General features: G+C 43.3%; 1 long non-coding RNA gene across 1 annotated transcript in view, besides 2 other annotated features; it reads left to right on the top strand.

Annotated features, from left to right (window-relative positions):
* LOC107986405 (uncharacterized) overlaps positions 1 to 12,435 on the top strand; it is a 34,244-nt gene that overhangs the window by 17,861 nt on the left and 3,948 nt on the right. The gene's annotated exons all lie outside the window — the stretch shown is intronic.
* Positions 1,792 to 2,291: an enhancer, noted in NCBI's record as "H3K4me1 hESC enhancer chr5:9944893-9945392 (GRCh37/hg19 assembly coordinates)". NCBI's record gives its function as "activates a minimal SCP1, AML or CMV promoter by ChIP-STARR-seq in naive and primed H9 embryonic stem cells {active_cell/tissue: H9 hESC(naive and primed)}" and the evidence as "EXISTENCE:reporter gene assay evidence [ECO:0000049][PMID:30033119]".
* Positions 2,292 to 2,793: an enhancer, noted in NCBI's record as "H3K4me1 hESC enhancer chr5:9944391-9944892 (GRCh37/hg19 assembly coordinates)". NCBI's record gives its function as "activates a minimal SCP1, AML or CMV promoter by ChIP-STARR-seq in naive H9 embryonic stem cells {active_cell/tissue: H9 hESC(naive)}" and the evidence as "EXISTENCE:reporter gene assay evidence [ECO:0000049][PMID:30033119]".

Raw genomic sequence — 12,435 nt, 5'->3', positions numbered from 1 at the left:
TCGCCTAGGGTCACTGTGGCCACTGGGTTATAAAACACAAGGGCTCCTGAAAGACTCCAGCTATCATCCAATTAGAACAGGGTAGGGGTGGATGGGAGGGAGGGGTTGCTCTCTGGCTGCTGTAACAAATTGCCACAAACATAGTAGTTTAAAGAACTCTGAGCAGCGTCTCGCTAACCTAAAATCAAGGTGCCGACGGGGCCGGCTCCTTGTGGAGGCTTCAGCGAGGATCTGTTCCTCATCTTTCCCACTTTTAAGGCTGCTGGGTGCATCATTTCCATCACTTTCAAGGTCACCTCACCTTTTCCTCTTCTGTGATACCGTTTCTTCCTCAGCCCTCTCTTACAAGGACACCTGTGCTATGAAGTTGAACCCACCTGGAGAATCCAGGATCCTCTCCCCATCTCAAGATGCTGAGTTGCATCCGCAGTGTCCTATTGGCAGAATGTATTCACAGGGCTAGCGGACTAGGACATGGACCTTATGAGGGGCCACTGTCCAGCCTACCTTACTAGGAGATTCTTAGACTGGGTGGAGTGCAGAGTGAATCCAGGCTCCAGACTCAACTGAGTCTGGAAGGGGCGTCATCTCCTCTGGGAGAGTGGGCAAGGCGAGTAGGTGTTCGAGAATCTTCTGTTCACAGCTGGATAGAGGATGACATTTTGGGCCTCTGACAGCACTGCAGGATTCTCAAAGTGTCTGGATTCTGGAAACCTCTTATCTTCTAGAACTGGAACTTGGAGAAGGGAGGGCACAAAAGCCCTGGGAAGGGGAATTTTCAGAGGAATCAGCTCTTTAGAGAGAGCCAGAAAGATGCGGGAGTGCTGGGAGCTCTCTGTGTGAGGCCATGGCCTGAGCCTTGGAAATGACACAGGACAGAGGGCCAATGGCCCAGCTTGTCTTTCACCCTGGACATCTGCTGGCCAGTCAGTTAGCGTCAGCTTCCTGGGCTGCCACAAAAATGCGATTCAAAAACACCTAATGATTTTATTTTATTTCTGTTGTTTACTCTTTTAAAATGTATATTTATTATATATTTCTAACAATTATTGCAACACATGGTCAGGGAAGAACACTTGGATAATTAAAAAACCCATAAGTTTGTCAGAACCCTGTGGCCCAGTCATCTACTAGTCTAAGGTGATACCTCTGTGTTATAGGCAAATGCGCACATTCACACCTACACACATCTTGGACATTCTGTAAGCATATAAAATATTTTGTAGTTGTTACCCAACTGCTTTATTGGGAAAACATTTAGATTTATTAGCCAGGGTAATACACCTGCAAACACAAACACTTTGATGCTTCTCACACCCGCGTTTCCTTGATCTTAGGTCTCCATGAAGGTGGTAATGGCCACCTCCTTCCCCCATAATAGCCATGAACAGTGAACAGCACAGATAATGAAGTCATGTCTCATCATGAGTTTCTTGGATAGTTTTTGGAGTTTATGAAGTGACCATAGTCTTGAGATCCAAACTATTGACTTGCAAGAATTGGGCTTTTTGAAAGCAAAAATGGTGCTTGAGATTCAATAACTTGTCTTTGACTATCAAAAGCTAAAGAAGTTCCTGTGTTCATAACATTTACGCTATGAAGATTGGATTTGGAGGAAAATAGAGCCAGATGCCTTGTCATCCCACTGGATAAAGATTCAGTGATTTCAGTAGAAGGTGCAGGGTAGGGGGATTGGAGGGAATGGGAACAGACAGGGGGCTCAGTGGTCCAAGGAGCAGAGGACTGGGTTGGGAGGAGCTGTGGGTGGCAAGGACAGGAATCAGTCCAGTCCAGTGAGCTCTGCCCAGAGCTCTGGGAGCAAAGTGCTCACTGGAGAGCCCTTGCAGACTGTCAGCATTGGAGTGGGCCCCACATGAAGGCAGTGCCAAGGGCTGTGTCTTGTCCTTCTGCTCATCCTTGGATGTCATTTAATTGTACTGTAGGATGAGGTCCATCTAAGCCCTGTGATTTGCTTTTTCCCATCTGAGTTGTTATGTGTGCTTAGCTTCCCTTTTCAATGGTCCAGGATGTTACAGGCACCCCTTCCCCCAAGCAGAAGGTGGAGCACGGAGGGTGCTGGCTCTGGGGAAGGCAGATCCCTTGCATTCATCCTCGGGTAGGAATGTGCAGAGCCAGCCTCCCGTGCTGTCTTTCAGTACACCTTCATCTCTGCCACGTGACCCTTCCCACATATCACAGCCACTTCTAGAGGTGCCCACTCCATGTATTAATACATACAAGGGCCACCTTGCCAGGCCCGCCTTCTCAGTGGCTGTCAGATGTGGACACTCATCCCAGGTTGCAGGGTTGGGAGGCTGGAGCGAGGGGACCTGCAGGGCCAGTGAGGGGCCTGGTATTCTGCAGCGTCTCCCTCCCACCTCCTTCTACCCTGCAGCCCGGGGATTTCCAGCTGCTGCAACCTCTTTCAGCTCTACTGAACTCCCTCACCCTCCCCTGCTCTTGTTTCTATAATTTTGCTCAGGCACATCAAGGATATTTTCCTGTCTCTCCCTTTCATAATTCTCTTGGTGAACCAAAACCCAAACCACAAAACAAACAAGGACAAGACACCGGGTGACAACGGGTCCTGCTTGCCACCCCTTTCCCGGAGTGAAAAATGTGACAAAGTGAGCTAGCACCGTCCACCGTGGGCTCTCGGGAGAGCCAGACATCACCTGCAGGATCCCGTGGGCCTCTCTCCCCTCTCAGGTTCCTTCACTCAGGCTCTCCTCAGTCACTATTCAGGAGACCTAACAAGACGCTCTTTTCTGTGTTTTCTACATGACTGTTTTGATGTTTTAGTCATGACTGCTGGACCTGTATTCATGACTTTTTTTTAATTGCAAAATTCTCTTTTCTAAAAACAATTCCAATTAGACTTTAAGACAATGGCTTTGAGGGCTGACTAGGGGAGCCAGTGCTGTCTGTGGCTCTGCTCTCTGGTATAATGCACCCCACATTCCAGCAACAGACCCCAGGTGGTTTGGAGATGAATCTGATTGAAAATTGGCTGGGTGGGTGGTGGTGGCCGACTGTACTTCCATGCTTTTAAACTAAATTAAGTTTTAAGTTCTAGGGTACATGTACCGGATGTGCAGGTTTGTTACATAGCTATACATGTGGCATGGTGGATTGCTGCACCTGTCAACCCATCACCTAGATATTAAGCCTGGCATACATTAGCTATTTTTCCTGATGCCCTCGCCTCTCACACCACACTCCCCTGACAGGCCCCAATGTGTGTTGTTCCCCTCCCTGTGTCCATGTGTTCTCATTGTTCAGCTCCCACTTATAAGTGAGAACATGCAATGTTTGGTTTTCTGTTCCTGCATTAGTTTGCTGAGGATAATGACTTCCAGCTTCATCCATGTCCCTGCGAAGGACATGATCTCACTCCTTTTTATGGCTATGTAGTATTCCATGGTGTATATGTACCACATTTTCTTTATCCAATCTCTTGTTGATGGGCATTTGGGCTGATTCCATGTCTTTGCTATTGTGAATAGTACTGCAACAAACATACATGTGCATGTATCTTTATAATAGAATGATTTATATTTCTCTGGGTATATACCCAGTAATGGGATTGCTGGGTCAAATGGTATTTCCAGTTCTAAATCTTTGAGGAATTGCCACACTGTCTTCCACAATGGTTGAACTAATTTATATTCCCACCAACAGTGTAAAAGTGTTCCTATTTCTCTGCAACCTTGCCAGCATCTGTTTCTTTTTAACTTTATAATAATCACCATTCTGACTGGCGTGAGACACTTCTCAAAAGAAGGCACACATGCGGCCAACAAACATACAAAAAAAAGCTCAACATCACTGATCACCAGAGAAATAAAATTCCATGCTTTTAGAAGCAGTAAACTTTAAAGAAGAATTTTCACAGAAAAATTAATCCACCTTTTATTAGTGAAAGAAAATATACCCTGAGCATGTCTGTCCCCAGATTGGGAGTAGATATCAACATAGACAAGTTTCTTTATTTATTGTACATTTCAAAATAACAAGCAGAGAATAATTGGAATGTTTCTAGCATAAGGAAAAGGCAAATATTTGAGGTGATGGATATACCAATGACACTGATTTGATCTTTAAAAATTACTTGAATATATTAAATGATCACACATACCTGAAAACATGAATGTTGATTATGTATGAATAAAAAATAAAAAATGACATGTAGCTTTAAAATAGTTGAACCTTTCACAGCAGAGCAGAGGTCCTTCTCACTGACAGTTCAAATGTCACAGGAGCTGGGTGCAGTGGCTCACGCCTGTAATCTCAGCACTTGGGGAGGCTGAGGCAGGTGGATCACTTGAGGTCAGAAGTTCAAGACCAGCCTGGCCAACATGGTGAAACCCCATCTCTAATAAAGATATTAGCTGGGTGTGGTGGCAGGTGCCTGTAATCCCAGCTACTCGGGAGGCTGAGGCAGGAGAATCGCTTAAACCCGGGAGGCAGAGGTTGCAGTGAGACGAGATTGTGCCACTGCACTTCAGCCTGGGTGACAGAATGAGACTCCATCTCAATAATAATAATAATAAATGATAATAAAAAATAAAATGTCACAGGAAAGCAAGAAGCCTTTTCTCTTCCTCTTAGCTTTGTGGTTCTGGTGCTGGCATAAAATTACTGGAACAGCTGGGTCTACTCCGGGTTTGGTTGTGGTTCATTTATTCTCTGGCAATAAGGTTTAACACAAGTCACTGAGAACAGCGTTGAGGGGCTGAGCGTGAGGGAGCAGATCTTAATTCTCAAGTATTGATCAAAATAAGGCCCCTCTGAACCGCCACTGCACTCCTCACTGGCTTCATCATCATTATTTTAAAATACATTTTTATTTTTAAAATTGATTTATTTAAAAAATGGGTATGGGGTACATATGGGATACAAGTACAATTTTGCTACATGCATAGATTGCACAGTGGTGAAGTCAGGGCTTTTAGGGTATCCATCACCCAAATAATGTACATTGTACCTATTAATTAATTTATCATCATGCACTCCAGTTTCCCCACCTCACCCATCATTATTAATGGAGCCCAGCATGGCCTCTGTTCTCACTCATGCCCAGCATCTAGTATCCTCATCTCTCTCCATTTGTGGAGAAGGCCAGAGATATTTCTGTCCAGCTCTGCCCCACCTCTGAGTAACTACAGTGGGATGAACAGAGACCTCTAATAAGTCATGTCCATGTCTTAATCCTTGAAACCTGGTGAATGTGACCTTATTTAAAGAAAGGATCTTTGCAGGTGCAAATAAGAATCTTGACATGATTTATCTGGGCTATCTGGTGGGTCTTTATATCTGGGTGGATGCTTATAAGAGACACACCAAGGAGAAGCAGCCACAGAGGAGAAGGTGGTGAGAAGATGGAGGCAGAGATTGTGTCTTCAAGCCAAAGAATACAGAGGACACCAGTGGCCGCCAGACACTGGAAGACCCAAAGGGCAGATTCTTCCCCAGAGCTTTGGGAGGGGGAATGACCTTCCCAACACCTTGATTTTGGATGGCCTCTGTGAATTTGGATTCTGTCTGTGAGAGAATAAACTTCTGCTGCTTTAAGCCACAAAGTTTGTGGTAATTTATTATGAGTGACCTAGCAAATGAATATAGTAACCCATGAAAATTGGTGGATGTCACAGAGTATCATATGCAGTAATAAACTGCATAATAGAGTAATAGAGTATCATATGCAGTAACAAATTACTGCATGTGATACTCTAATGGTGGATAGATGTCATTATACAAAACCCATAGAATGTACAACACCAAGAGTGAATCCTAATGTAAACTGTAGACTTTGGGTGATAATGATGTGTTAAGTGTAGGTTTATTTTTGTAACAAAAGTACCACTCTGGTGCCTGATGTTGATAGTGGGAGAGGCTGTGTGTGGAGGGGTACCAGGGATATATGGGAACTCTCTGTACTTTCTGTTCAATTTTGCAGTGAACACAAAACCGCTCTAAAAATTAGTCTAATAAAATGGATGACTTGCCCCTTTTGTCTTCCTTTGAGAAAGTGTGGCTCTCTTCACACTAACGGGTACAGCCTGAACCTTGTCACGCCCTGAGTATCTCTTCATGGAGGTAAGAAGGCCTTTTTTCTTTTCCCTGAGCAACCATGACCTGGAGAAACGGCTCCCTTCAGTCATGGGCAGTTCCCATAGTGGGGACTCAGATATGAGCCTCCCATAGGCAGTGCTCTGGTCAGTGGGAGAGTGAGTGCCATATCCTGAAGGGGGTTGAGTGTGTACTGGAGAACCCGCAGCACTTGCTTTGTCTAGGTCTGCGTCTGAAACATGAAATGTTGCTGTAGGACTTCAGGCAAGTTGGCTGGCTCTTCACTTCAAACTCATGGTCTCAAACTTCTCATGAGTTTCCAACATTGCCCATCAAACCTATTCCCTTCACAACTCCCAGAATATTTGCTCTTCATTCTTTGGGATAACTATTTCATGCTTCAATTTTTCTCCTCAAACCTCCCAGCACCCTATTCCTTTCTGTCCTTCTCACAACCAGGTCATCAGCTAAATGTGAGTTAGCTGTGCAAATAGGAGGAGTTAGATGGACACATCTTCATTTAGCAGCATCAAACCTAGGAACCCATCTGCACTGGAAGTACAATACTTCTCCTTTCTCCCTCTCCAGGTCTGTGTTCTCTGGAAGCCACCACTCCTACCATCTTTTCAAGGATTTAACTGCTTCTTGTTCCTTCCCCTTCCTCCTGCATCATCAGTTTTTCTCTGCTATATCATTTTTCATAGCTTACAAACAGGCAGTGGTTTTTCTCATCCTCTTAAATCTTCCTTGACCCCTTCAGGTTCCAGCAATTACCCTATCATTTTGCTCCATTTCACAGCAAAAAAATTCTCAATTCTCAAAAGAATTCTGTGCACATATTGTCTGTGCTTACTATCTCAGGCCCTGGTAATCTGACTTTTACTCTGACCTTTGTTTTAGACTGTGCCCTTCAAGGTCACCAATGGCCTTCATATTGTGTTTTATTTCACTTCTCGCTATGGTTGGGGTAGATGATGACTCTCTTCTTCTGGGAGGCATTCTCTCTTCCAGATAATCACAATCCACATTGTCTTCAGATCTGGCCTTTGCTTTTTCCCATTGCTGGCTCCTCCTGTTCTCCCTAACTGTAAATATTTGAGGGCCATAGGGCTCATCTTGGGTCACCTTTCTCTATCCCTGGGAGAGCTGGTATATCCTCATGCCTCCCACATAAATCTTCAGCCCATATGTTTTATGTGAACCCAAGACCTGCACATTCAACTATCCACTTGACATATCTGTGTGCTTGCTCACAGGCCTTTCAGAATTGTCATGACCTCCTCCCAATTTTCTCCCTCTTTTCACTCGCAGTAAATGACAACCCCACTCACCCAGTTGTTGAAGCCAGAGCCTGGAGCATCATCCTTTCCTCCTCCCTCTTCCCCAGCCCGCCATCCCATGCAAGCCATCAACACATTCTGCCATTTCCAGCTCCAAGTTGAAGTTCCAATCTATCCACTTTACCTCTGCCATCACGTTTTGTTCTAACCCTCTTCATATCTCACTGGTCCACAGAGCAGCTTTTTTATCTTTTGACTCCTTCTCCATTCTATTTTCTATAGCAGTCATCAGTGGTCCATTATGCTTCCCCCTACATCTGAAGTAAAATCCCAACTCCTACTGTATCTTACAAGGGCTCCTCTGTGTGCTCTTAACCCTGCCTACCTTGCCAACATCATCTGGTGCCACTCCATCTGATGTATGCTCCATCTGATGTATACCAGTTCCAGCCACACTGGGGCTTTGCCATTATAGGGGTGGCTGATATGGTTTGGATATTTTGTCCCCTCCAAATCTCACGTTGAAATATCACCTCCAGTGTTGGAGATGGGCCTAGTGGGAGATGTTTTGGTCATGGGGGTAGATCATTCATGGACAGCTTGGTGACCTTCTCATAGTAATGAGTGTGTTCTTGCTCTGTTAGTTCATGTGAGACCCGGTTATTTAAAAGGGCCTGGCACCACCTCCTCTCTTTCTTGCTCCCTCTCTTGCCATGTGACATGCCTACTCCACCTTCATCCTCTGCTATGATTGTAAGCTTCCTGACGTTTCACCAGAAGCCAAGCAGATGCAGATGCCATGCTTGTACAGTCTGCAGAACCAAGAGCCCCATAAACCTCTTTTCTTTATAAATTACTTAGTCTCAGGTATTCCTTTATAGCAAAACAAAATTGATTAATAGAGGGGCATTGCATATACTTTTTACTCTCCCCTAGGGTTTCTCCACCTTAACACTATTGACATTTGGGGCTAGATAATTATTTGTTGTGAGGGACACTGTCCTATGCATTATAGAATTTGTGGCAGCATCCCTGGCTTCTACTAACCAGATGCCGGTAGCATACACTCATCCCAAGTAGTGGCAACCAAAAATGTTGCCAAACATTGCCAAATGTCTCCTGCATGGTAAAATCACCCTCAATTGAGAACCACTGCTCTACCTAAAATACTCCCCACCACTCATCCCCCAACCCAACCTGACCTTTCTCTCTGGCTGCCCTTAATATTTTTTCCTTCATTTCAACCTTGTTGAATCTGACGATTATGTGTCTTGGGGTTGCTCTTCTTGAAGAGTATCTTTGTGGTGATCTCTGTATTTCCTGAATTTGAGTTTTGGCCTGCCTTGCTAGGTTGGGGAAGTTCTCCTGGATAATATCCTGAAGACTGTTTTCCAACTTGGTTCCATTCTTCCTGTCACTTTCAGGTACACCCATCAAATGCAGGTTTGGTCTTTTCACATAGTCCCATATTTTTTGGAGGCTTTGTTTGTTCCTTTTCATTGATTTTTTTCTCCAATCTTGTCTTCATGCTTTATTTCATTAAGTTGATCTTCAATCTCTGTTATCCTTTCTTCCACTTGACTGATTCAGCTATTGACACTTGTGTATGCTTCACAAAGTTCTCGTGCTGTATTTCAGCTCCATCAGGTCATTTATGGTCTCCTCTAAACTGGTTATTCTAGTTAGCAATTCCTCTAACCTTTTTTCAAGGTTCTAAGCTTCCTTGCATTGGGTTAGAACATGCTCCTGTAGTTCGGAGTAGCTTGTTATTACCCACCTTCTAAAGCCTACTTCTGTCAATTCATCAAACTCATTCTCTGTCCAGTTGCTGGCGATGTTGGTGCTATTCCTTTCTGTTTGTTAGTTTTCCTTCTAACAATCAGGCCCTTCTGTTGGAGGTTTGCTGGAGTTTGCTAGAGGGCCACTCCAGACTCTGTTTGCCTGGATATCACCAGCGGAGGCTGCAGAACAACAAAGATTGCTGCCTGTTTCTTCCTCTGGAAGCTTCATCATACGGGGGCCTGCCAGATGCCAGCTAGAGCTCTCCTGTATGAAGTGTCTGTTGAGTCCTGCTGGGAAGTATCTCCCAGTCAGGAGGCACGAGAGTCAGGGACCCACTTGAGGAGGCAGTCTGTCCCTCAGCAGAGCTCGAATGCTGTGCTGGGAGATCTGCTGCTGTCATCAGAGCCAGCAGACAGGAAAGTTTAAGCCTGCTGAAGCTGCACCAACAGCTGCCCCTAAGAAGAAAAGAGAGAAGAATCAAATAGACACAATACAAAATGATAAAGGGGATATCACCAGTGACCCCACAGAAATACAAACTACTATCAGAGAATACTATAAACACCTCTATGCAAATAAACTAGAAAATCTAGAAGAAATGGATACATTTCTGGAAACATACACCCTCCTAAGACTAAACCAGGAAGAAGTTGAATCCCTGAATAGACCAATAACAAGTTCTGAAATTGAGGCAGTAATTAATAGCCTACCAACCAATAAAAGCCCAGGTCGAGATGGATTCACAGCTGAATTCTACCAGAGATATGAAGAGGAGCTGGTACCATTCCTTCTGAAACTATTCCAAATAATAGAAAAAGATGGAATCCTCCCTAACTCATTTTATGAGGCCAGCATCATCCTGATACCAAAACCTGGCAGAGACACAACAACAAAAGAAAATTTCAGGTCAGTATCCCTGATGAACATCGATGTGAAAATCCTCAATAAAATACTGGCAAACTGAATCCAGAAGCACATCAAAAAGCTTATGCACCACAATCAAGTCAGCTTCATCCCTGGGATGCAAGGCTGGTTCCACATACACAAATCAATAAAGGTAATCCATCACATAAACAGAACCAGTGACAAAAAACACGTGATCATCTCAACTGATGCAGAAAAGGCCTTTGATAAAATTCCACATCCCTTCATGCTAAAAACTCACAGTAAACTAGATATTGATGGAATGTATCTCAAAATAATAAGAGCTATTTATGACAAACCCACAGTCAATATCATACTAAATGGACAAAAGCTGGAAGCATTCCCTTTGAAAACTGGCACAAGACAAGAATGCCCTCTCTCATCCCTCCTATTCAACATAGTATTAGAAGTTCTGGCCAGGGCAGTCAGGCAAGAGAAAGAAATAAATGGTATTCTGATAAGAAGAGAGGAAGTCAAATTGTCTCTGTTTGCAGATGACATGATTGTATATTTAGAAAACCCCATTGTCTCAGCCCAAAATCTCCTTAAGCTGACTAGCAACTTCAGCAAAGTCTCAGGATACAAAGTCAATGTGCAGAAATCACAAGCATTCCTATATACCAATAATAAACAGAAAGCCAAATCATGAGTGAACTCCCATTCACAATTGCTGCAAGGAGAAGAGAACACCTAGGAATCCAACTTACAAAGGATGTGAAGAACCTCTTCAAGGAGAACTACAAACCACTGCTCAATGAAATAAGAGAGGACAAAAAAAAAAAAAAATGGAAAAAACGTTCCATGCTCATGGATAGGAAGAATCAATATTGTGAAAATGGCCATACTACCCAAAGTAATATATAGAATCAATACTATCCCCATCAAGCTACTATTGACTTTCTTTACAGAATTAGAGAAAAACTACTTTAAATTTCATATGGAACCAAAAGAGCCCATATAAGCCAATACAATTCTAAGCAAAAAGAACAAAGCTGGAGGCATCATGCTACCTGACTTCAAACTATACTACAAGGCTACAGTAACCAAAACAGCATGGTACTGGTACCAAAACAGATACATAGACCAATGGAACAGAGCAGAGGCCTCAGAAATCATGCCACACATCTACAACCATCTGATCTTTGACAAACCTGAAAAAAAGCAATGGGGAAAGGATTCCCTATTTAATAAATTGCATTGGGAAAATTGGCTAGCCATATACAGGAAACTGAAACTGGACCCCTTCCTTACACCTTATACAAAAATTAACTCAAGATGGATTAAAGACTTAACCATAAGACCTAAAACCATAAAAAAACCCTAGAAGAAAACTTAGGCAATACCATTCAGGACATAGGCGTGGGCAAAGACTTCATGACTGTAACACCAAAAGGAATGGCAACAAATAAAAAATTAACAAATTGGGATCTAATTAAAGAACTTTTGCACAGCAAAAGAAACTATCATAAGAGTGAACAGGCAACCTACAAAGTGGGATAAAATTTTTGCCATCTATTCATCTGACAAAGGGCTAATATCCAGAATCTACAAGGAACTTAAACAGATTTACAAGAAAAAAAAAACCCCATCAAAAAGTGGGCTATATGAACAGACATTTCTCAAAAGAAGACATTTATGCGACCAACAAACATATGAAAAAAGCTCATCATCACTTGTCATTAGAGAAATGCAAATCAAAACCACAATGAGATACCATCTCATGCCAGTTAGAATGGTGATCAAAGTCAGGAAACAACAGATGCTAGAGAGGATGCGGAGAAATAGGAACGCTTTTACACTGTTAGTGGGAGTGTAAATTAGTTCAACCATTGTGGAAGACAGTGTGGCAATTTCTCAAGGATCTAGAACTAGAAATACCATTTTTCCCAGCAATCCCATTACTGGGTATATACCCAAAGGATTATAAATCATTCTACTATAAAGACACATGCACACGTATGTTTATTGCTGCACTGTTCACAATAGCACAGACTTGGAACCAACCCAAATGCCCACCAACGATAGACTGCATTAAGAAAATGTGGCACATATATAGCATGGAATACTAGGCAGCCATAAAAAAGGATGAGTTCATGTCCTTTGCAAGGACATGGATGAAGTTGGAAACCATCATTCTCAGCAAACTAACACAAGAACAGAAAGTCAAACACTGCATTTTCTCACTCATAAGTGGGAGTTGAACAATGAGAACACATGAACACAGGGAGGGGAACATCACACATTGGGGCCTGTCAGAGGGTGTGGGACTAGGGGAGGGATAGCATTAGGAGAAACACCTAATGTAGATGATGGGTTGATGGGTGCAGCCAACCACCATGGCACATATATACCTATGTCACAAACCTGCATATTCTGC

This window comes from Homo sapiens, chromosome 5 (assembly GCF_000001405.40).
Source record: "Homo sapiens chromosome 5, GRCh38.p14 Primary Assembly".
NCBI lineage: Eukaryota > Metazoa > Chordata > Mammalia > Primates > Hominidae > Homo > Homo sapiens.
The sequence above is the reverse complement of the archived record's forward strand: the minus strand, read 5'-3'. Positions and strand labels throughout refer to the sequence as shown.